The 26,124-nt window shown below is 42.4% G+C and overlaps 1 protein-coding gene across 27 annotated transcripts in view; it reads left to right on the top strand.

The window, feature by feature from the left end:
• Positions 1-25,724, top strand: part of TFDP2 (transcription factor Dp-2) — a 205,117-nt gene extending 179,393 nt beyond the window's left edge. For 24 of the 27 annotated variants that reach the window (NM_001375780.1, NM_001178139.2, NM_001375773.1 and 21 more), the window contains 5 exons: positions 11-79; positions 6,189-6,340; positions 10,312-10,478; positions 17,136-17,241; positions 17,456-25,724. In NM_001375780.1, coding sequence (NP_001362709.1) covers positions 11-79; positions 6,189-6,340; positions 10,312-10,478; positions 17,136-17,241; positions 17,456-17,639 — 678 coding nt within the window. In that variant the 3' untranslated portion in view covers positions 17,640-25,724. The remainder of the gene's footprint in view (positions 1-10; positions 80-6,188; positions 6,341-10,311; positions 10,479-17,135; positions 17,242-17,455) is intronic. The other 3 variants (XM_017007100.3, XM_011513107.3, XM_047448783.1) reach the window with 1 other exon arrangement.
• The last annotated feature ends 400 nt before the right edge of the window (positions 25,725-26,124 follow it).

The following is a 26,124-nucleotide window of genomic DNA, read 5'->3' as shown; positions in this document are numbered from 1 at the left end:
TGTTTTAAAGATAGAGAAGCAGAGGCGGATAGAACGGATAAAGCAGAAGCGGGCCCAGCTGCAAGAACTTCTCCTACAGGTAAAGATACCGAGATGTTTTCATTACCTTCCCTGTTTCTCCACTTGCTGCCTTTTGGAGTCAGTGTGTTTTCTAATTGTGGTGCCTCTGAGTGGTGTGTGGTGAGCCCACGCCAGGGCAGCCTCTCTCACCTCCTAGCTTGTTGCCATCCACGTGCTCTGCCTTAAGATGGTCCCATCTGTTGCCATCATCTCAGCTCCACAGTAGCTTCCCTGCCCTGTGTGTGACTTACGCCAGGCAGCAGTTCACTGTTGACACTCAGGCCTCTCTAAACATAAACTGTCAGGGGTCTTTTTGTGTTTGTTTATTTTAGCCCGAATTTGGAATATCCACTAGTGAAGCTAGTTAAATTTTAGGTGCTTCAAGTACAGTAATCAAATCTGCCTGTAATACTTAATTTTATCAGTAAATGACAGAATGGCATGAAATAGTTCAGTAAGATTTTTGTTGTTGTTGTTTTTTGAGACTGAGTCTCACTCTTTCGCCAGGCTGGAGTGCAGTGGTGCGATCTTGGCTCACTGTAACCTCTGCCTCCCGGGTTCAAGCCATTCTCTGCCTCAGCCTCCCAAGTAGCTGGGATTACAAGTACCCGCCACCATGCCTGGCTAGTTTTTTCGTATTTTTAGTAGAGACGGGGTTTCACCATCTTGGCCAGGCTGGTCTTGAACTCCTGACTTTGTGATCCACCCGCCTCAGCCTCCCAAAGTGCTGGGGTTACAGGCATGAGCCACCACACTGGGTCTGTTTCAGTAAGATTTATAGAAATACCAAAATTTAGGCCGGTTATATATATATATATCTCATATATATGAGATATATATATGTTATATATATATATATCTCATATATATGAGATATATATATATGTTATATATATATATCTCATATATATGAGATATATATATATGTTATATATATATCTCATATATATGGGATATATATGTTATATATATATCTCATATATATGAGATATATATATATGTTATATATATATATCTCATATATATGAGATATATATGTTATATATATATCTATATATGAGATATATGTTATATATATATCTATATATATGAGATATATGTTATATATATCTATATATATGAGATATATATGTGTTATATATATCTATATATATGAGATATATATGTGTTATATATATCTATATATATGAGATATATATGTGTTATATATATCTATATATATGAGATATATATGTTATATATATCTATATATATGAGATATATATGTGTTATATATATCTATATATGAGATATATATGTGTTATATATATCTATATATGAGATATATATGTTATATATATCTATATATGAGATATATATGTGTTATATATATCTATATATGAGATATATATGTGTTATATATATCTATATATGAGATATATATGTGTTATATATATCTATATATGAGATATATATGTGTTATATATATCTATATATGAGATATATATGTTATATATATCTATATATGAGATATATATGTTATATATATCTATATATATGAGATATATATATGTTATATATATCTATATATATGAGATATATATGTTATATATATCTATATATGAGATATATATATGTTATATATATATCTATATATGAGATATATATGTTATATATATCTATATATGAGATATATATGTTATATATATGATATATATGTTATATATATGAGATATATGTTATATATGAGATATATGTTATATATAGTTATATATTATATATATTATATGTTATATATAGTTATATATATTATATATTATATATATTGTTATATATTATATATAATTATATATAATATATAATATATAAATAATAATGTTTTGTTTGAAGAGAATATTGTGCAGCTTTAAAAAAAAAAAAAGCTGAAACTGACAGTTTATTCCTATGCTCCTGCCTGTAGAATTCTACCAAACACTCCTCCTTGAACTCCTGTGCTGCCATCTTCTTCCCCCCGGCAGCCTCTCTGTTGTCCCTGTCCCTGCACAGTTATCTGCAGTATCCCCTAAGAGCTCATGCCCCAAACCCTGTGCTGGGGCCCTCCTGGAATTTCTTCAAAACCATGGAACATTTTGGAGCTTAATTTTTTTGGCACGTTATTTTTAAAAACCTGTTTATCAGCATGCCAACAGTCATCTGCCTATCAGAAAGAATGGTGCTGGGCAAGATCACCCTCATGTGTGTAGGACTTTCCTGTCTCTAGATGCCTGATGCAAAGAATGAAACCATATTTTTTCCCTGCTTACCTCTGTACCATGAACATTGTTTTTTTATTTTTTAAAGTCTTGAACTTCTTTTCCTCTACTGTCTCTCAAACCAAATATTTGTAGAAGAGTTCCACCCAGGGGCAACATGGCTGTCAACATTCATAGAAACAGGTCTCTCTAAACATTAAAGTGAAACCCAAAGTATAACTGAAATCAACTTGTGGTCTTCTGGTAAACTTAAAACTTATTTCCAAAGGCCGGATGTGGTGGCTCACGCATGTAATCCCAGCACTTTGGGAGGCGGAGACGGGCAGATCACCTGAGTTCAGGAGTTCGAGACCAGCCTGACCAACATGGAGAAACCCCGTCTCTACTAAAAATACAAAAAATTAGCCAGGCATGGTGGCGCATGCCTGTAATCTCAGCTACTTGGGAGGCTAAGGCAGGATAATCTCTTGAACCTGGGAGGCAGAGGTTGCAGTGAGCTGAGATCGCCCCACTGCACCCTAGCCTGGGCAACAAGAGCGAAACTCTGTCTCAAAAAAAAAAAAAACAAAAAACTTATTTCCTCCTAGCATTTCAGTTTTTTTCCTTTCATCAAATAAATTAAGTTGTCATAGAAAGTAAATTAAGCAGCCAGGCACAGTGGCTTACTCCTGTCATCCCAGCACTTGGGGAGGCCGAGGTGGGCAGATCACGAGGTCAGGAGTTTGAGACCAGCCTGACAAACATGGTGAAACCCCGTCTCTACTAAAAATAAAAAAATTAGCCAGGCATGGTGGTGCACACCTGAAATCTCAGGTACTCAGGAGGCTGAGGCAAGAGATTCACTTGAACCCGGGAGGCGGAGGTTGCAGTGAGCCGAGATTGCACCACTGCACTCCAGCCTGGGCAACAGAGCAAGACTCTGTCTTTTTTTTTTTTTTTTTTTTAATAAGTAATCCATTTGCTGTGGCTAAGCTCACTTGATTTTTTTTTATAAGCTCATGTCACAACTCACTCATGTCACATGACACAGGTAACTATTACCTCCTTGCTACCACCTCTCTTTTATTTTTGGTAATGTAGAAGAATGGAGTGAGTAAAGCAAACCTGTAGATAATCCCAATATCCTACTTTTATCTCTATAATTGCCCTTTCCAGCCCTTAAACCTTTTCCATAATAAACGCATAGGAAAATGAATGAACACACTTAAAGCTGTTCAGCCTCTGGAATAGATGTTAATGAGTTTGAAAAAGAACAAAAGGCCAAAGGAAATCAATCAAAGGGCAACAAATAAGTCAGTTCAAAATAAGTGAATTATTTTTCCTTTTACTATCCAAAATAACATTATATGGTATATGAAATTTGTGACAGTGTTAAAAAAAACATTATTATGACCAGGTGCAGTGGCTCATGTCTGTAATCCCAGCACTTTGGGAGGCCGAGGTGGGCAGATCACAAGGTCAGGAGTTCGAGACCAGCCTGGCCAATATGGTAAAACCCCGCCTCTACTAAAAATGCAAAAATTAGCCAGGCATGGTGGCGGGTGCCTGTAGTCCCGGCTACTCGGGAGGCTGAAGCAGGAAAATCATTTGAACCTGGGAGGCGGAGGTTGCAGTGAGCTGAGATCGTGCCACTGTACTCCAGCCTGGGCAACAGAGTGAGACTCCGTCTCAAAAAAATAATAATAAATAATAATAATAAAAACATTATGTTTTTACTGCTCTCTTCACTTGAAAAACCATTGATACTATTAAATGTACACAGCATTAAATAGTGAATCACAAATACATAAGGGCCATTAGTTATCACTGCTTATATTCCCCCATATACCAGGGTCCTCTTGTGGCACTAGGGACAGACACCAAGTTAGGCAAAGTGTAGGAACAGCTCTTGAGATGTGTATTCTAGTAAAAGGGAAGAGAAGCTATGCAGGAGTATTTAAGCATGTAATTCTTTTTCTCAGTTCCACAGTTTAATCATAATTTTTCCTCATTATTAAAGGAATTAAGCAATGAATTCGTTTTTTAGCAACAGAAAATAATGAAATGTAACCTCAATAATGTTTGGTAATGATATTGATAGTGCTAGTTATTGATAGTGATTTTTGGACACACTTAGGTCTACAATAAATTGGTGTTCATTATTTTTTGTGCTTTTCAAAGAGTAAATCTTCCCCTTTTGGGGAGATAGCACTCAGCCATTTTAAGATAATAGTAATCTTTTCTTTTCTTTTCTTTTTTCCTTTCCTTTCCTTTCCTTTCCTTTCCTTCCCCTTTCCTTCCCCTTCCCCTTCCCCTTCCCCTCCCCCTTCCCCTTCCCCTCCCTTCTCTTCCCTTCTTTTCTTTCCTTTTTTTCTTTTCTTTTTCTTCTTGAGAAAGGGCTCTGTTGCCCAGGTTGGAATGTAGTGGCACAGTCATAGCTCACTGCATCCTCCAACTCCTAGGCTCAAGAGAACTTCCCACTTCGGCCTCCCAAAGTGCTGAGATTACAGGTGTGAGCTACCATGCCTGGCCAATAATAGTAATCTTACTGAAACTTTAGTTAAGGTCCAGAACCTGAAATAAACAATACTGATCATAAGATTGCTAAAATGTAAAAAATAAATTTATCACTACTGGGTGACAAGATTATAACAAGCTAATGAAGGGGAATGAATGGCTCTGACTTGAGGAACTTTTAAAACGTTATCTGTTTCTTGAGCAGATGAAAAACTTGAACTGCATACAGTCTTTCTAGCTGTGAAATTCTATCGTACATTTACCTTATTAAAAAAAGGGAGATCACTTGTTTGTTTGTTGGTTGGTTTTTCTCAGACAGAGTTTTGCTCTTGTTGCCCAGGCTGGAGTGCAGTGGTGCAATCTCGGCTTACTGCAGCCTCCGTCTAAAAGGGAGATCACTTTCTTTGGCTTTTGAGTAATGGTTATAACTAAAAGTAGCGGCAAGATCCAGTAAAAAAATTTAGGCCTTGATGTATCTTATAATTAGTGCTGAGCCTCAGTTACCTCATCTGGAAATGTCTGGTTGGGGAAGGCTGGGGCTGGATTCCAAACTGTGCCCAGAGGCTGCTGAGAAGTTCTGTGGAGGTGCCTTAGAAACCATGTGGCTGTGCTTGAGGGCAGAGATGGCAGAGCTTAGGACCTGGCCTCACTGCAGCCAGCCTCAACAGCACCACTTCCATCTGTTTTACATGAGTTTTTTTTTGTTTTGTTTTGAGACAGGGTCTCATTCTGTCACCCAGGCTGGAATGGAGTGGTATGATCTCTGCTCACAGCAAATTCTGCCTCCTGGATTCAAACAATCCTCCCACCTCAGCCTCCTGGGTAGCTGGGACTATAGGCACATACCACCATGCCCAGCTAGTTTTTGTATTTTTTGTAGAGATAGGGTTTTGCCATGTTGCCCAGGTTGGCCTTAAACTCCTGGACTCAAGCAATCAACCTGCTTTGGCCTCCCAAAGTGTTGGGATTACAGGCGTGAGCCACTGTGCCCAGCCTCCCTCGAGATTTTATTTGAAGAAACAATTTTGTGCCTTTAAAATGTTTGCATATCCCTGGGCTACACATCCTAAAGTTTGGGGGCATATTTGACCCCAAACTGTCAGGAGTCTATGTTAGATAAATGGTATCACCCTTGCTGTGTCATTTGCTGAAGAGTTCCAGGTGCCTACTGGTTCTTTCCCAGATTGTGAGGTCCTGTTTCTATGGATGATGGAAAAATGTATTTATTGAGTTGGATCATTCTTTCTTAAATGTTTAATTTTTTAAATTAATTCATTAGTGCAGGCGGGATGTCTCTTTAAACTCTAATTTTAAACTATATTTAAAGGTATTATCTTAATTCTTTTAAATTCCAACTCACTTATGCACAATTGACCATATTGTTTTTATTGATCATTACAGCAAATCGCTTTCAAAAACCTGGTACAGAGAAATCGACAAAATGAGCAGCAAAACCAGGGCCCGCCGGCTCTGAACTCTACCATTCAGCTGCCATTCATAATCATCAATACAAGCAGAAAAACAGTCATAGATTGCAGCATCTCCAGTGACAAGTGAGTGGAGAACTAGGGATGGGTGCAGGGCTGGCCTTCTGTTAACATTTTCATATCATTTGCAAACTCAAGAAGGATGCACTTTATTAGTTGCACCCCTCAAAGGCTGGCTTCCTTGGGGCACATGAAACACCTCCTGAACCATGGGTGCAATCTTCCACTAGTGTGCGCTCCAACCCTCACCCTCTGTGGTCCCCTGTCTTGTGCCAGGCACTGTGCTGTCTGTATTATATGTGTGTGGCAGTGTCTGGGCCCAACCTATGACGTGCTGCATGTATGTGGTAACTCTGAGCAAGTAACTGTGATAAGTTAGCCCAGCACTGTGGGTCTGGGACAAGGTAGATTCATTGGTGATTCACCGTCATAGTTTATTACGGAAATATTTTAGGTCAACATGTGGCATTAAACCAATTATTTCTTTGTTTTGCTATATCATAGTTATGCATGCTTCTGTTTATTAATGAATGTATGAATAGACATGAAAATGCCTGGCACATTCTTTGCTTCCTTTAAATTGTGTTTTTACATTTTAACTAAGATCAATGATAATATTCATTATGGCAAATAAGAAGTAGCACTTTTCAAAATATAGAATTAATTTGTGATGTATTTTACCATTCATGAAAAAGTTTCTCTCAGTGGTCTTCAGGCTGTGACCAGTACCATAAAAGAGTTAAGAGTATATATAGGGTGCAGAGTGAGACGGATCCATGTACCGCTTATGGCTCCCCCACTTCGCTGCTGCAAAGCTCTGTTTTCTCAAGAACAAATAGGAATGATACTGGGTCCCCTATGACTTCCCAGCCTTGTGAGGATTAAATGAGTTAATGTCTATAATGACTTGAGGTAAGTGTTTTTTAAATGTTAGCTGCTGTTACAAAAGGTCAGCCTATAGTTTATTGTTCAAATAGGGATTTATTAATGCAAAAGAAGACTCTATAATAATTGCGTCAGTACCACAGGCATACCCCAGAACTGTCCCAGGGATACCAGAACTTCCTGTCTCCTAGGGCCCTGACATTGCCCTTGGGCTTCACTGCTACTTGTTTTCCCACTCTTCTTCCTGGCGCTCTTGCGCCCCCTGCCGGTCTCTGTTGTGTCCAGAGATTCCGGGCCACTCCACTAAGAAGGCACACACACAAAAGAAGAGTTAGCCAGGCGTGGTGGTTCACACCTGTAATCCCAGCACTCTGGGAGGCCGGAGGCTAGTGGATCACCTGAGATCAGGAGTTCGAGACCAGCCTGGCCAACATAGTGAAACCCTGTCTCTACTAAAAATACAAAAATTAGCCAGGCTTGGTGGCGCACGCCTGTAGTCCCAGCTACTAGGGAGGCCAAGGCAGGAGAAACGCTTGAACCTGGGAGGCAGGGGTTGCAGTGAACCGAGATTGTGCCACTACACTCCAGCCTGGACGACAGAGCAAGACTCTGTCTCGAAAAAAGAAAAAAGAAAAAAACAGCAGGAATTTCAAAACTATTTGATAATTGAGACTATAGACACAAAAAGAAATAGTAGAGGTTATGAAGTAAACCAGAACCAATAAATTTTTTTTTAAGAGTGGATTCTTGGCCGGGCGTGTTGGCTCATGCCTGTAATCCCAGCACTTTGGGAGGCCAAGGCAGGCAGATCACCTGTGGTCAAGAGTTTGAGACCAGCCTGACCAACATGGTGAAACCCTGTGGCTACTAAAAATACAAAAATTAGCGTGATGATGCACACCTGTAATCCCAGCTACTCGGGAGGCTGAGGCAGGAGAATCACTTGAACCCAGGAGGCAGAGGTTGCAGTGACCCAAGATTGTACCATTGCACTCCAGCCTGGGCAGCAAGAGCAAAACTCCGTCCCCCCCAAAAAAAGAGTGGATTCTCACTGTTCTCACTGTTGCCCAGGTTGGAGTGCAGTGGCTATTTACAGGCACGATTATAGCTCACTGCAGCCTCAAACTCCTGGGCTCAAGCGGTCCCCCTGCCTCAGCCTTCCTAGTAGCCAGGACTGCAGGTGCACACTTCCTTGGCCAACTAAAGCTGATCCATTTTTTAATCTTCTAAGTTTCTTAACCTCTCTGAGATCATGTTCCTTTCTCCACAAAAATAAGAATTATAGTATTTACCTTGCCAGTTTCAAAAAGTTATGGGTAAATTAATATACAACCCAGCCCAGTGGTCAGTAAGTGGTAGATATCTGAATTATTTTCCACACACTTGCAAATTCTTTATAAATATATGTCAAAGAGGACCATTAACATAGTCTCAGAAAACTGAGAATTCAGGCCGGGCACGGTGGCTCACACCTGTAATCCCAGCACTTTGGGAGGCCAAGGTGGGTGGATCATAAGGTCAGGAGTTCGAGACCAACCTGACCAACATGGTAAAACCCCCATTTCTACTAAAAATACAAAAATTAGCCAGGCATGGTGGCACGCGCCTGTACTCCCAGCTACTCAGGAGGCTGAGGCAGGAGAATCACTTGAACCCAGGAGGTGAAGTTTGCATTGAGCCGAGATCGTGCCACTGCACTCCAGCCTGGGCGACAGAGCAAGACTCTGTCTCAAAAAAAAAAAAAAAAAAAAAAAACAACAAAAAACTGAGAATTCTGGAAAATGGTTAGCATCTTTTCAGATAAAAAACACAAAACTTAGCATTCTAGTTACTCTCTCAAATTAGTCTCTTGTTTTGTATGGAGAATTATAAAACTATCTTAGGTTAGTCTCTTAAGTCTAAAAAGAATGATGGGAAAATCTGGGAATCATTGGCCTAGGGTATTGTGGACACTGTTCCCCCAGGCTGGAATCTGGTGAGGCTTCCATCTCTTGGGTGGTCCCTGACTCATGCCCTTTCCTTGGCCTTCCTTTGAGTGGAGGGAAGGAGGCTCTGAGTAGCTTGTACAAGCTTGTTATCCGACGTAGGTCCAAAAACCCTTTCAGTTACTTTGGTGATGCAGTCTTTCCCCATAATTAGCCAAGAGGCTTTCCACAATGAGGATTACATTTACAAAACGATCTGCTTTTAACAGATGCCTGAAATCATCCCTGTGGCAGGCACCCACTTCAGATTTTTTTTTTTAAGTTGTTATTGTACTTTAATCAAATTCATATACTTTAGATTACTTAAATTGGTATTTTGCTTCAAATTATAATTTTTGCTTCTAAGATAATCTGTTATTCAAATTATCTTAGATAGGGTATAAAGTTTTACCCTCACATGATTTTAATAGAATTTCATGACCAGGTGAAACCTACCATTGTCCCCAAACCCTGTCCCTGCAGGGCTGAGGCCCATGATGAAGGTGCTCCAGGCCTAGCCTAGGAGTCGGAAGGACTGTGTCTTCCTTCTTTTGCCTCTTGATTAACGTGTGTTGGGCTGCTGGGAAGCTGGGAATCCAATTTGGGTACTTTCCAAACATATTTGGAAACGTGCTTGTATTACATGTGACATTTTTTCTTAAAACATTTTACTCCTTAGCCTCTCAGGACAGGATTTGGGGTTGTTTTCACTTGTTGAAAGTCTTCTATTTATTGCTTATCTGAAGTAGGCTGTAGCTAACATTTGACTCATGAAAATGAAGTAAGCATTCAAAATGTTTTTTTCCTCAAAGCTAACAGGCCAACTCGGAATAGGGATATCGTAATATTAAAGTAGAAAGGCTTTTCTTTTGTGGCAAAGCTGTAGGCAACTTTGAGAAGTACTGGATTTAGAATAAAATTTCTATCCTCTGTTTGTAACAGAGTTAGGGCTAAAGTTTGTGGGTTTCTATCATCTGTCAGAGGAATGTTGTTTTAATTGGGAAAGTGTTTTATTTGAGATGTCATTCCCCTGACAGAGCAGAATGACTCATGGCTCTCTAAATGGTAGCAATTTCTAGCACTATAGCTGGATTTAGGCCCCCATTCTGTTACTTAAACTATAGAATACAAAACTATTCAGACCTCTCCAGCACCACCAAAAACCCTTTACTTTGTTTCCTGATGCAGGTTTGAGTATCTTTTCAATTTTGACAACACCTTTGAGATCCATGATGACATAGAAGTACTAAAGCGGATGGGAATGTCGTTTGGCCTGGAGTCAGGCAAATGCTCTCTGGAGGATCTGAAACTTGCGAAATCCCTGGTGCCAAAGGCTTTAGAAGGTTATATCACAGGTATGTTAACTGATGCTTTCATGTGTTGTCCCTGATTAAATGTTGAATCCAAACTTGTTAAAACCTTTCTTATAGAAAATTGCAAAATTTTAGAACATCTGTGCTTGTGTCGACAAACTGAAACCTTTAACACTTTAGGACCATTTTTTCAAAAATTAGATTAAATAGTTTGTTTCATAACATTATGAACTTACATCTATACACCACACATTATATACTATTACATCTAAATTGGCTCACTCAGCACTGAATTTGGCTCTTCAGAGAGATCTTGTAATTCCCAGTACCTAGCTTAGAGCCTAGTTAGAGTAAGCTAGTAAAAGCTCAATGAGGGAGTTTTAAAAAATCTTCTCTTAGTGCCCTGTGGATACTTCAAGGGAAACTTTGGGCAATTTACAAAAGAAAGTAGGTACATCCTGGCCGGGCGCTGCAGCTCACACCTGTAATCCCAGCACTTTGGGAAGCCAAGACGGGTGGATCACCTGAGGTCGGGAGTTCGAGACCAGCCTGGCCAACATGGTGAAACCCTGTCTCTACTAAAAAAATACAAAAAATTAGCCGGGCGTGATGGCACATATCTGTAATCCCAGCTACTCAGGAGGCTGAGGCAGGAGAATCACTTGAACCTGGGAGGTGGAGGTTGCAATGAGCTGAGATCGCCATTGCACTCTAGCCTGGGCAAGAAGAGTGAAACTCTGTCTCAAAAAAAAAAAAAAAAAAAAAAAAGTAGGTACATCCTACTTCCCTCTAATGGAAAATTTAGTATATCTATTATCTGCCCATACATAAAAACATTTGATTAATTGAATTCAGAGAGGAGGAGTGGACTGAAAGTTTAAATGTCAGGGGAAAAAAGGGCAGAACGGGGTAAACCTGGATTCACATTTGTGTACGCTGCTCCTCTTTACAGTAAAACTTCTCAAGTTGACCATATTTACTGTTCCTTCTTCCTCTTTCCCCAGTCTTAAATTGTTCTTATTAAATACTGAGTAGATACAAAGGTTGTTTACGTCTGTAGACTCTGAAGGGTCACAGTACAGTAGACCCCCATGAATCCAGCACCCAGCTGAGGAAAGCACATTACTGTTCCAGTCCACTGCATGCCCCTGCCCCAGGCTCTGTGCCCTTTCCCACCCCTCAAATATAACCATTCTCTTACATTTCATTGTCATTCACTTGCATTTCTTTAGAGATAAACCAAAATGGTAAACTGGAAATAATGTATTATTTAGTTTTGCCTACTTCTGGCCTCTATATAAGTGAAGTCATAGTAATATACTCTTTGGTGATTTGATTTTTTTTCACTCGATATTATGTTCTTTAGAGTCATCCATGTGATTTAATATAGATATAATTCATACATTCTTACTCCTGTGTAAAATTCCATTATATGAATACATCACAGCTTATCTGTTTATTTTACTGAAAATAAACTGTTTGTTTCCGATTGCTTGATGTTAAAATACAGTGCTGCTTTGAACATTCCTATACATGTATCCCAGTGACCACATGCAAACGTACAGATTGAACTTGTTAGGTCAGAGTTGGGTACATCTTCAGCTTTACTAGATGATACCAAAAATTTTCAATTTGATTTTACCAAATTACACGTTCCCCAGCAGAGTAGAAGTGTTCTATTTTCCTAATCAGGTGGGTCTGAAATGATACCATTGTAGCTTTTCTAAATTGAGATTGAATTCACATGCCATAAAATACACCATTTAAAAATGTCAGTTCAGTGATGTTTTGGTATATTCACAAGGTTGCTAATCATCACCACTATCTGATTCCAGAATATTTTAATTTAAAAACCCAAAAAGAAACCCAAACCCATTAACAGTCTCTATTCCCCCATTCTCCCTCAGCCCCTGGCAACCACTAATCTACTTTGTGTCACTATGGATTTGCCTATTCTAGAAAGACGCTTTATGTGAATGGAACCCTACAGCATGGGGCATTTTGTGGATAGCTTCTTTCACTTAGTGTAGTGTTTCAAGGTTCGTTCATGTTGTAGCACCATCAGTATTTCATTCCTCTTTATTGCCAAATACTATTCCATTGTATGGATGGACCACATTTTGTTTATCCATTCATCAGTTGGTAGATATTTGGACTGTTTCCACTTTTTGGCTATCTCGAATGATGCTGCTGTTAACATTCTTATAAAAGTTTATGTGTAAACATATGTTTTTATCTCTAAAAACATATACCTACGAGTGAAATTGCTGGGTCATATGGTAACTCTGTGTTTAACATTTTAAGGAAATACCAAACTGTTTTCCAAAGCTCCTGTACCATTTACAGTCCAACCAGTGGATAAGTGTTCCAATTTCTCCACATCCTTACTTACTTATTTAGAGACGGAGTCTCACTCTGTCGCCCAAGCTGGAGTGCGGTGACGTAATTTGGCTCACTGCAACCTCCACCTCCCAGGTTCAAGTGATTCTCCTGCCTCAGCCTCCTGAGTAGCTGGGATTACAGGCACCTTGCCGCTATGCCCGGTTAGTTTTGGTATTTTTAGTAGAGACAGGATTTCACCATGTTGGCCAGGCTGATCTGGAACTCTTGGCCTGAATTCACCTGCCTCAGCCTCCCAAAGTGTTGGGATTATACATGTGAGCCACCGTGCCTGCCCTCCATATCCTTTTCTACACTTGTCACTATACATCTTTTGAATTATAGCCATCCTCACAGAAGTGAAGTGATATCTCGCTGTGATTTTTGTGGGGGGGGTGGGGCAGGGTGGTGGTGGAGGGGAGAGAGTCTTGCTCTCCAGGCTGGAGTGCAGTGGCGCAATCTCTGCTCACTGCAGCCTCGAACTCATGGGCTCAAACGATCCACCCACCTCAGCCTCCTGAGTAGCTGGGACCACAGATGTGTGCCACCATGCCCGGTTAAATCTTTTTTTTTTTTTTGATATGTTTGGTAGAGATGGGGTTTTGCCATGTTGTCCAGGCTAGTCTCAAAGTTCTGAGCTCAAGCGATCCACCTGCCTTGGCTCCCACTGTGATTTTGATTTGCATTTCCATAATGACTTCTGATGTTGAGCATCTTTTCATGTGTTTATTGACTATTTGTATGTCTTCCTCAGAAATATGTCTATTCACATTGACTTTTTTTTTGAGATGGAGTCTCTCTCTGTTACCCAGGCTGGAGTGCAATGGTGCAGTCTCAGCTCACTGCAAGCTCCACCTCCCGGGTTCAGGCGATTCTCCTGTCTCAGCCTCCCAAGTAGCTGGAATTACAGGCGCCCACCACCACGCCCAGCTAATTTTTGTATTTTTAGTAGAGACAGGGTTTCACCACGTTGGCCAGGCTGGTCTCGAACTCCTGACCTCAGGTGATCCACCCGCTTCGGCCTCCCACAGTCCATCCTTTGCTCATTTTTAAGTAGAGTTACTTGTCTTTTTATAGAGTTGTAAAGTTATACTGAGTATACTTGAAAACAGAAGCACTATGTTTTACATGTCCTATAATTAAGATTTTTTTCACTAATTTAGAAATCTTCCTGATTTTCCTAATTCCTGAAAATATTACATATTTTGTAGATACAATTTGACTATATAGGTTGGGTGCGGTGGCTTACGCCTGTGATCCCAGCACTTTGGGAGGCTGAGGCAGGCATATCACTTGAGGTTAGGAGTTCAAGACCAGGCTGACCAACATGGCAAAACCCCATCTCTACTAAAAATACAAAAATTAGCCAGGCATGGTGACACATGCCTGTAATTCCAGTTATTTGAGAGGCTGGGGCAGGAAAATCACTTGAACCTGGGAGGCAGAGGTTGCAGTGAACGGAGATTGCACCACTGCACTCCAGCCTGGGCAACAGAGCGAGACTCTGTCTTTTAAAAAAAGAAATGAATATATAAGCAGTGTTTTTGCCTTTGCTTTCTTTTGTTTATTTTATTTGTAAGTATAACCATCTAGAATTTCACATCGCTTTTTAAAGGCATTTTAATACTAGGTCTAAGATACATTAAATCCAATGTAAGCAAAAAGGTAGCTTTAATTTTGTTTTATTCTATGATTTGGTCCTTTGCTCACAACAGAAGAGTTTGTTGGCTGAGATTTGGTTTCTGTTTTAGTTCTTCGGTTGGCACCATTCATCCCCTGCAAGGGCCCCCCGCCTCTCCTTGCCCCTCAGCCCACCTGTTCCGTCTCCCCACCCAGCTTTCCTCTCTCCACGCTCTCCAGCCTGGGTCCTGCTGTGTCATTGGAAGGCCAGCAGAATCTGAATAAAGGGCTTACTCAATAAATCACCAGAACTTTATTTTAGCTTACTCCCAGTGAAAAGGCTCAGGGCGATTAGGCAGGCTCTGTGGTTTTGATCTCTTCGTGACCTCATTTGCAGACTGGGATACAGACTTTCTGGTTAGTTCAAAGGAAGAAACATGTGCCTCTCGTGTGTAAAGGGGCAGAATGGCCTGGGTGGGAGTGTGAGAACCATTGTGTGGATCCTGTGATAATAGGAAAGAAATGTAGGCTTTTCCAATTCATTGTAAAAAGAGAATGTAATGTGTTATGCTCACAAACAAGTAAATAGCTGTGTTCTGACAGAAGGTTTCTATAGTTCTATATACTAATTAATATTCAGCACAAGATTCTGGCTTTAATTTTATTTTCTTGTACAGACTTGTCGTTATTTAATGTATTTAAAGTCTGCTATTCTTCTTAGACTTGAAGTCTCTTTTTTTTCCCAGCTGTCTCAAAGAAAAAGGTTCATAAGACGGTTCTAAAATTAGCATAGTCATTTAGTTTACTTTTTTCCTACGTGGGAATGGCCTCTTGTTTGGATACCAGAGTTTCCAATCTAAATCATATAGTTTCATTTTTTTGTATAGTAATTGCAAAAAGATTTTGATTCAATTAAATCATAGCTCATTTTGGCAGATTACATTTTCTGAGTATGTGTTTGGGCTTATAGAATTTCTTTTTAGGAATTACTTTTAATGTATCTACCACTTATTTTGTAAAGTGGCAGCTGACAGAGACTATACTCATTCATTCAGTAACTTTTTTGTTTTTTTGTTTTTTTTTGTTTTTTTTGAGACAGTCACTCAGGCTGGAGTGCAGTGGCACGATCTCAGCTCACTGCAACCTCCGCCTCCTGGGTTCAAGTGATTCTCCTGCCTCAGTCTCTCTAGTAGCTGGGATTACAGGCATGTATCACCATGCCTGGCTAATTTTTGTATTTTTAATAGAGATGGGGCTTTGCTATATTTGCCAGGCTGGTCTCGAACTCCTGAGCTCAATCTGCCCGCCTTGGCCTCCCAAAGTGCTGGGATTACAGGCATGAGCCACCGCGCCCCGCCACATTTAGATCTTACATGTTCCAGTTACTGCCTTCTTTGAGCTAACACTGTAGATGGGAAGATAAAAAGTATTAAACCAGTAAAATTACAATAAGAATTGATCAGTGTTGTCATAGGATAAATGTGGTATATGTATAGAAAAGAAGATGGCAAGGAGATATCCAAAATATTTTCTTTTCTTTTTTTCTTTTATTTTTTGAGATGGAGTTTCGCTCTTGTTGCCCAGGCTGGAGTGCAGTGGTGCAATCTCAGCTCACTGCAACCTCCGCCTCCCGGGTTCAAGTGATTCTCCTGCCTCAGCCTCCCGAGTAGCTAGGATTACAGGCATGCACCACAACGCCCAGCTAATTTTGTATTTTTAATAGAGATGGGGTTTCTCCATGTTGGACAGAACTCCCAACTTCAGGTGATCCGCCCTCCTTGGCCTCCCAAAATGCTGGGATTATAGGCGTGAGCCACCGTGCTCAGCCCAAACTATTTTCTGTAGACTAAAACAGTAACGTCTGTGTCTGCCTCATTAAAAACATGACTGCATGTGACCTTTTTAAAATAAGAGCTAGTTGTGGGGTGGGGGGAGGGGGGAGGGATAGCATTAGGAGATATACCTAATGCTAAATGACGAGTTAATCGGTGCAGCACACCAGCATGGCACATGTATACATATGTAACTAACCTGCACATTGTGCACATGTACCCTAAAACTTAAAGTATAATAATAATAAAAAAAATAAAATAAGAGCTAGTTTGAATTAGAAAGCAACAGACACCAGGAAAAATCTTGTCAGGAAAAAGAATAGATATTTGATGAGTAGCAGCATTGAGTTCACCAGCAGCAGGCACCTGAAAAGACATTGCGGCGGGGGTTTTGGCCAAAACATGTCTGTCTGCCCTCTAAGCAGGGTGGCCTTCTTACCTCATGTATTTCTGATTTGATTTTCTCTTTTCCCACTTCTGGCTTTGGCTCTCAACACCACAGTCCAGGTCTTTTGTGCTGAGGGCAGAAGGCATTGAGGGTGGTACACTGGGATGTATCCCATGGGCTGTGCTCTGGAGGGCTTATCTAAGAAAAAGAGTAAGAAAGTGCCTTTGAGTGTTTTCATTTGAATACCTTCTCTCCGTAAGCTGCCTTCCCGTATTTTTTTTTTCCTGCTCTTATGTTCTAGAAATTTTTTTTTCTTCCAAGAAGATGAAGAAACCTGGGTTCTTGTCACAGCAAGAGAATTGTCTAGCTGTCATGAAGAATAAGCTTAGCTCTTGCTTTTCTGTGCTTTCCTCAGACTGTAACAACAGCAGCCACAGAACTTGCAGGACCGACATTTTTTGTTCTCATTTTTTCCTTTAGATATCTCCACAGGACCTTCTTGGTTAAATCAGGGACTACTTCTGAACTCTACCCAATCAGTTTCAAATTTAGACCTGACCACTGGTGCCACCTTACCCCAGTCAAGGTACGTATTTTTTTCAGGGTTAGAAAGGCAAACCCCAGAGCCCTGACTGTCTGTGTAGGGGTGAGCCGGGGTCATGTTACTGCCAGCACAGGTCCTGCTGAGCAGGTTTGTGGCAGATCTCACCAATGGCACCTCCTTCCTGTTTTTATTCCTATGTTTTACAAAACTGTTTATACCACATTAATGAGCCTGTGTGTTTTTAATTGTTTGCTAGTGTAAACCAAGGGTTATGCTTGGATGCAGAAGTGGCCTTAGCAACTGGGCAGTTCCTGGCCCCAAACAGTCACCAGTCCAGCAGTGCGGCCTCTCACTGCTCCGAGTCCCGAGGCGAGACCCCCTGTTCGTTCAATGATGAAGATGAGGAAGATGATGAGGAGGATTCCTCCTCCCCAGAATAAAGACAAGAGAAAGCCTACGTTTCAATATGTGATGCTCATGTGTGTTTGTAGTGTGAGCTCTTGTTTTTGAAATGATTGCTTCAGTCTTTGCCTTTGTTTGCACTGTGTGTTCAGTGAAAACTAGAGAAACACAATAAGCAAATCACATGAAGGCTGAGATGATTGAGATGAAAGTTAACATAGTGTGAATGAAAGTCTGGCCAACAGAGCAGTAGATGATATAACAAAGAAAGCATGCTTTCTGAGGAGATAGTGGGGATAATCCCTGAAGAGTTGGCAGTGTGAGTGCAACTCATTTATCTTCTGTGAGGTGGGATTTTTGTGTTCCTCACACCCATGTAATTATTCTTAGAATTGAGATTGCTACACGGAGCAGTCCTTGACGATCGTGTTTCTGACGTTTCTCTTCCTTGCCTGGACTGCCTTTGACAAGGCAGAAATGAACATGAAAAGTCCCCAGGAGAGGGGAGCTGTGTAGTGAGGGATACTGAGGGCAGTCCTGTGGCTGAGGGGCACAGATTGAACTGCTGAACTAGTTGGAGGTCTAGATGAGGTGCTTTACGCATCAGCTGCCTTAGACAGCTTCTAGAAAGGAGCGAGCGCTACTTCTTAAGTACTTAAGTGACATTTAGATAATTTATAGTAAAACTGAAATTATTATTAGCCAATGCATTGGTGCATAGAATTTACTAGGGCTACTTCTGGAAGCCAAAATAGAATAGCATTTCCATGTGCATTAAATACTTTGCCAGCACTGCCTTTGCCAGCATCCTAAATCTGGAGTTTTACAAAGAAGGAAACTGTATCTTTAGGTTAATCAAAGCTATGCATTTCATATAGCTTTTTCATTTAAAACAAGACAAAGAAACAAATTCCTATGACCAAATTGCTTGCCTACAGTTCCCTGCAGTAATTGTATGATCTCACCCAGTGTGCAATTTGTGAAAATGAACCAAATGTCATTACTTTTGTCTTAAAGAAAAGTCTATTTCAAGAATATGAACAGCAGTGTTTCCTTGTACATGTCACCTTTTTTCACATTTTCATTAATCAGAATGACCTTATTGAGCCTACTCCTGGGGTCAATTGCATTTCAAACTAATCCAATATTTAGTGTTTCACAGAAACACTAGAAAACGTTGAACACTCCTACTGCCTGGATATATGGTAGTGCAGTTATGTTGTTTATGGCTCAAGATGTCATTAGAAATACTGCAGTGGTGTATTCACAGCTGCTCCTTCTCTGAATGAAAGAGTGTAGGGACACCTGCCACCATGGCCAGACCCTGACTGAATTTCACATTAAGGCTTTGGAAAGGAGCAAATAATAATGGGAGAATTAACTCCAAAACTTTGACCTGAATCATGTGGATTTGTCCCAAGATTATGCTAGATGCACCAAGCATGGCCCAAATTGGTTCTTTTTTAAATCCCATGGGGGAAGTGCAGGCTCCTTCCTGTGGTGCCTCTTTATAGCCTCACCACCATGCTAACACTGAGCATGGTGAGGAGGAGGAAGCTTTGGCTAGCTAAACATGTTTAATAAGGCCATAAAAACTGAGAAAGAAAAACATTCAACTTTAGCTGAAGCTCCTTTGATACAAAAGTTTCATTCTGTCAGAAATAAGCCATAGTACAGACTCAGAGATAGAGGCAGTTTCTAGAGAACTCGGTCTTATCGTGGGTTCTGGAGCACACCTCTCAGACCAGTCAGGAACACTGGGGAGGTGACAGCAGGTCCCCAGGGGCCTGCAGGGAATCTTTCAGCTGCACGGATTGGGATTTCCCTCCAAACCAAACTGTCCTTTAAGGGGCAGCCTCCTCTTTTACTAACTCCACCCTTTCTCATCTCTGGGACCCAGCAGGGACCTGGAGAGGCCAACAGCCACTGCTACCTTTGTAGTCTTCAAAATATTGAACTGCAGGTCCCAAGATGCATTTCAGGATTTAAGACAGGTGCACTAATGATAACCATTCCTTCACCAAGTAGCAACATTCTTGCCAGAGTTCTTGGGAAACCTGTTTTTTTCTCTACTCTCCATCTCTGCTGCTCTCATGCTTTAAATTGATAAAATATGGGCTCAAAAAAAGAAAGCCGCCAAAGACTCTTATCCTTATTGGTGCCCCATCATTGGCCACCCCAGCCATAGGTGTGTGCTGTTGGTGGGAAATGGTCTCCTTCCTCAGCGTTGTGTTTGGGTTACTGGTGAGGCCAGCTCACAGAGTGACATCATGGTCACCAGTACATGTCGCTGGAGTAAAATCTTGCCTTTAGAAACTAGGTTGAGCTGTTCAGAAAGGTCAATTCTCTTCTGTATTCCCCCTCAACATTTATCTGGGTCTAAAGCTCAGCACTGAGTCACAATTTCACACAAGATCAAAGTGAGGCAGTGTTAGGAAACCATGGGCTGGGTGCAGTGCCTCTCGCCTGTAATCGTAGCACTTTGGGAGGCCGAGGCGGGCACATTGCTTGAGCTCAGGAGTTCAAGACCAGCCTGGGCAACATGACAAAACCCTGTCTCTACAAAAATACAAAAATTAGCTGGGTGTGGTGGGGCATGCCTGTAGTCCTGGCTACTCAAGAGGCTGAGGTGGGAGGATTGCTTGAGCGCAGGAGGCGGAGGTTGTAGAGCCAAGATCACACCACTGCACTCCAGCCTGGGTGACAGAGCAAGACCCTGTCTCAAAAAAAAAAAAAAAAAAAATGGAAGTTGTGGTCACAATGCCCAGGCTTCTTTGTTATAGTGGCACGCTGGGTTACTTGCCACACACAGATCACTCCTCCCAGGGCTGCTGGCACACACTGATTGTGGGGAGTTCAAGAGGCCTTTTCCCCTTGAGGGTGTGGCTGTCCCCCTTTCAGGCGTGTGGCGTCATTCATGGAGGAAGTGCTGGCTCTACTTAGCACACGCACAGTGGCACTAGGACCTGCGTGCCTGGCCCTCAGTGGGTAGGGCGGTGCTGCCTAGGCACACAGCAGCGCTTACGGGCCCCAGGTGCCTACTAGGCTGCCTTCCTCTTCCCCGCTGTCAGTCTGTGTCCTCCACGTGCTTATTTCCTGTGGTGAGAGCAGTTGTGGTGTTTGTATACCTTGTGCCTTATGATCAAGGTGGGCCTTGGAGGAGGGCGGGAAAGGAGCGACCAACATGGCGGTCCTCCACCCCTCAGCGACACCCACCGCCCGAGAAACTACAGACAATGGCCACAAGTTTGGCGTCCTTCAATTTAATTCTTTAAAGAAGTGCTGGGAAGAAAAAGCTATGTGGTTTCTACCATTTTAGCAGGATAAAGAGGATAACTCCTTCCATTAGCAAATTTTACAGTTGTTAACAGTACTCTGCCATATTTGAAAAATAATGCCAGAGTCAGTCCTTGAAAACAAGGTAGCTCCTATCAGAATTCAAATGGAAATTTTTTTTTTTTTTTTTTTTTTTTTTGAGACTGAGTCTCGCTCTGTTGCCCAGGCTGGAGTGCAGTGGTGATCTCGGCTCACTGCAAGCTCCGCCTCCCGGGTTCACGCCATTCTCCTGCCTCAGCTGGGACCATGCCTGGCTAATTTTTTTTGTATTTTTAGTAGAGACGGGGTTTCACCGTGTTAGCCAGGATGGTCTCGATCTCCTGACCTTATGATCCACCCCTCTCGGCCTCCCAAAGTGCTGGGATTACAGGCGTGAGCCACCGCACCCGGCCTCAAATGGAAATATTTCACAGAGGAGTGGTTCAGTTTAGCCCTGCAAGACATCTATAACTTGACTGTTTGCTAAACCACAACTCTTTTTGGCTACTTGGGTCATAGAGACAGCAGAGTTGCTCCAAGTATAAATGTGACTTAGGCTCCCTCCAGCACACAGTGTGTATGTTGGAGGGAGTGTGGATTAGCAGAGAATGAGAACTACCTCAGCTATTCCTGCCATAACCACACTGAGAGAGGGGGGCACGGTGGGGAGCCTATTTAGCTTTTTTTTTTTTTTGAGACGGAGTCTTGCTCTGTCGCCAGGCTGGAGTGTAGTGGCGCAATCCCGGCTCACTGCAACCTCTGCCTCCCGGGTTCAAGCGATTCTCCTGCCTCAGCCTCCCAAGTAGCTGGGATTATAGGCGCATGCCGCCACACCCGACTAATTTTTTGTATTTTTAGTAGAGTCAGGGTTTCACCGTGTTGCCCAGGCTGGTGTCGAACTCCTGACCTCAGGTGATCTGCCCACCTCAGCCTCCCGAAGTGCTGGGATTACAGGTGTGAGCCACCGCACCCGGCTCTATTTAGCTTTTTAAAAATTATTTCCTTTCAAGGGCCCTTTAATATCTATCAAGCTCCCTCCCCTAACAAAATGGGCTGTCCCTGCCCAACAAGTCTGAAATAGACCTTAAAACTGTGCTGCCTTAGTGGTAAGTAAGGGGTGGGGGTTGGACAGTGAATCTTAAGATTTCATCCTTCATTCAGTAAGCATTTGAGTACCTACTGTGAGCAGGCATTGGGGCGGAGCAGCGAGAGCCCTGCCGATGTTGGGTTCTCCTCCTATTGGGGAAACTTGATCACAGATGGAACACGTGCAGATTGATTGATGAGTGCTGTGGAGAAAGCAGCAGCGTAGCGGGACCGTTTGGGAAAGGCTACTTTGGCTGGGGGTGGCTGGGAAAGGCCCCTCTGGGAAAGAGACAGTTTTACTGAGTCAGATGGTGGAAAGACAGATGTCTCTATACTTTCTTAACAAGCCACTCTGTCCCATAACATGCACTTGGAATCTCTCCTAAGTTCCAGAGGCCCCACTGTTCCAGTTTCAAGCCTTCATTTTGGAGTCTGTTTGGGAACTTTTAAGACTTCAAAGCAAAGTTAGCTACCAGCAATTTCTGTAAACCAAGAGAAGATTGTCACAAAGATTCACTACTTTCCAACTGAATCTATGCAGTAGAAAAATCATTAGAAAATACAAAAATTAGCCGGGCGTGGTGGCACATGCCTGTAGTCCCAGCTACTCGGGAGGCTGAGGCAGGAGAATCACTTGAACCCAGGAGGCGGAGGTTGCAGTGAGCCAAGATCCCGCCACTGCACTCCAGCCCAGGTGACAGAGCAGGACTCTGTCTCAAAAAAAGAAAAAAGAAAGAAAGAAAAATGATTAGAAATTGAGAACTATTTTACGTGTTTCTAAGTTGTTGGCTACATCAAAGAGATCATCTGTATTCTGCATATGGGCTGGCTTTGGTGAAGCTGATGACTGGACTTCTAAGAACCGTTTTCCCAAATGGGTTCCCATATTCATGCACCCAAAGCAATGGTCCCCAAGCACTGATGAAAACTAATATGCATTTCCCAAAGACCCACACTATGTATCAGGAGCCTGCACCATGCCATTTGAATGACCCTCAGCAATGTGCCTCCCTGCCCTCAAATTCCCAGTTGATAACAGTGTTTGATTAAATTTCCACTCAAGCCAAACATGGTTACTAAGAAGAGAAAAACCTGATGTTTGCATAATATTTTTTTTCCCCTCGAGATGGAGTCTTGCTCTGTTGCCCAGGCTGGAGTGCAGTGGCATGATCTCAGCCACTGCAACCTCTGCCTCCCGGGTTCAAGCGATTCTTCTGCCTCAGCCTCCCAAGTAGTTGGGATTACAGACATGTGCCACCACGCCTGGCTAATTTTTGTATTTTTAGTAGAGACAGGGTTTCACCATGTTGACCACACTGGTCTTGAACTTCTAACCATGTGATCTGCCTGCCTCGGCCTCCCAAAGTGCTGGGATTACAGGCTTGAGCCACCACGCCCAGCCTAAGATTTTATGATTAAAAAAAATTCAAGCTCAATACCCACATAAATTATAACGTTTCTCAGGAAGTAGTCCCTTAACCAAAACGTCTCTGAGAAGTGATGCTTAGGTAATCTCTGGGATCCGATTTTCCCACATGTCTCACTCCACAGTATGCTAAAGAAGAAAAAGTGAGTGGGCACAACACTTTGACCCTCTGGCTAAGCCCTGGGAGTCCCTGACAGGTCCAGAAACTTCTCTGACACCCATTCACCAGGGTGCTGAGATAGGAGAAAGTGCTCATTTATAATGTGTATTCTGTGCAGCTGTTCTCAGACAAGACCGGATCTTGTCATCTTACCTTTTGCTTTACAAAAAAGGCCTGTTGAAGTCAATGCTGTCTTGCCCCTTGCTGTTTCAGCAGGTTAGACTTTGGTCTTCACTGCTTATAGCTGCATTGGAGGCCAACGTAGCTGATGCTCAGGGTCAGGCCTCGCCCCTTCGCCGCAGGTCTCAGGATCGGGGATAACATCGCTCCCACCCTGCTCATTTAGAGATGGGAAACAAGCAAGAGCTTGACTTGCCTCCCATCCCTCAGCCTGTCTGTGGCAGAGCCTGCACCAAAACCCAGAGCTTCTTCCCTCCGTGAGGGCCACGCTGTCACCACAGTCCTCCCAGATGGGTTTTGGATTAGCATCAGTCCTGTGTCACCAAGTGCCAAACAGCTGAGGGGTAGAAGTGGGACTCCTTTCCCGAGCCCCAGCATGAGGCTGTGGTGTCAGGTTTAGGCCTCTCTCAAGTCAGAAAACCCCGGGCTGAGACCTCCACAGACAAGGGCTCCCCATGCTGGCCATTGGCAGGGGCCCAAGAAGTTCAGTGACCAACTGGTCCTTCCACACCACACCAGCTGGTGCTGCCCATGTCTGTCGAATCATAACGGAAAATTCCCCAGATCACGTTTGGATTTAAAAACTCATCCCTTGTCGTGCTTCAATGCATGCCATTTGTCACTTACCATACTTCACCATGGCCGAGCTTCATGTCACATGGCCTGGCGATTGTGCTTGTTCACACTGGGGCCAGGATTTTCATACTAAAACGTCACTGACAATGGGGCTACTTTTCTCCTGAATAGCTCCTCTGGGCTTGTTGCAGTTCTAGTTTTCCCAGTAGTTCCATGGCAGGTTCAACCTCTCAGTGTCCTGAAAAATGGAACCACCCACTAACCATATGCACTGGCTGCCCAGGTGGCTGCACTCCGGGGATCACGTTTCAGTACTGAGTTCCTTCACGCACTTGGTTCACCACCATCACTCTTGAGTTTTGGACAAAAGAGGTGGGTATGCCAGGCACAGTGGCTCACGCCTGTGATCCCAGCACTTTGGGAGGCCGAGGCGGGCGGATCACCTGAGGTCGGGAGTTCGAAACCAGCCTGACCAACATGGAGAAACCCTGTCTCTACTAAAAATATAAAATTAGCCGGGTGTGGTGGCGCATGCCTGTAATCCCAGCTACTCGGGAGGCTGAGGCAGGAGAATCTCTTGAACCCAGGAGGCAAAAGTTGCAATGAGCTGAGATCGTGCCATTTGCACTCCAGCCTGGGCAACAAGAGCGAAATTCCATCTCAAAAAAAAAAGGTGGGTAAAGGGCCATGAGCCCAAACCACTAGGTTGTTCACCTTTTCATCTGAAAATGCTTTACTCTGACTATGTGCTATTGGGTTTTATTTCCAGAAAATATAGTTCTCCTTTTTTCTGCATGAAGGATACATCGTGGTGCCACATGCTTTAAGCAATTTAAACAAGAGAGATAAGAGGAAAATGCAACCACCACATCTGACTTGCCCAATGTAGACTTTCCTTTATTAGATTGAAGTACACAACCTAATATGATATATTATTTTGTAGTATCTCAGACTTTGTAAATAAATGCCATTATTTTTATATGGAAATTTTATAGAAGAGCTATTTCTGTATACGTAATTACTCCTGATTTTCTGAAATTGCTTCTGGTAGATAACAGACAAGTCCTAAGCAGTGTTCCACTAAGGGTGGTTCCAGGCCTGCCTGCCGTGGAGTTGACTGGGGGAATTTTACAGTTTTGCGATCCTAGGATGCGTCCCAGACGCTCAGTCAGAAGTGCTGGAGGTGGGGCCTGGGAAGCTGTATTTGTAATGAACTCTGGTGTTTTTTGTCCATTAAAGTGTATCTTTGTCCATCCTATAAGATTAAAGGAAAGAAAAAGCATCTCAAATGAGTGTAAGTTGTTCTTGAGAAAAAAATGTATCAGACTTTTATGATTTGAATGAAATGTATTATAGAAAAAAATAAACACTTTAAAATAATGTTAGTCTCATTACTAGTGGGTCAGGATATTTTTAGTTAAAAAAGGAGGTGTTAGGCCATGCGCAGTGGCTCACGCCTATAACCCCAGCACTTTGGGAGGCCAAGGTGGTCGTATCATTTGAGGTCAGGAGTTCAAGACTAGCCTGGCCAACATGGTGAGATCCCGTCACCACTAAAACTACAAAAATGAGCTGGGTGTGGTGGCATGCGCCTGTAATCCCAGCAACTTGGCGCAGGAGAATCGCTTGAACCTGGGAGGCGGAAGTTGCAGTGAGCTGAGATCACACCACTGCAGTCCAGCCTGGGCAACAGAGTGAGACTCCATCTCAAAAAAAAAAAAAAAAGCCTTTTTTTTGTTTTTGTTTGTGAGATGGAGTCTCTGTTGCCCAGGCTAGAGTG

Source organism: Homo sapiens, chromosome 3 (assembly GCF_000001405.40).
Source record: "Homo sapiens chromosome 3, GRCh38.p14 Primary Assembly".
In the NCBI taxonomy this organism is placed as follows: Eukaryota; Metazoa; Chordata; class Mammalia; order Primates; family Hominidae; genus Homo; species Homo sapiens.
Note: the sequence above shows the minus strand (reverse complement) of the source record. Positions and strands in the feature narration are given on the sequence as shown.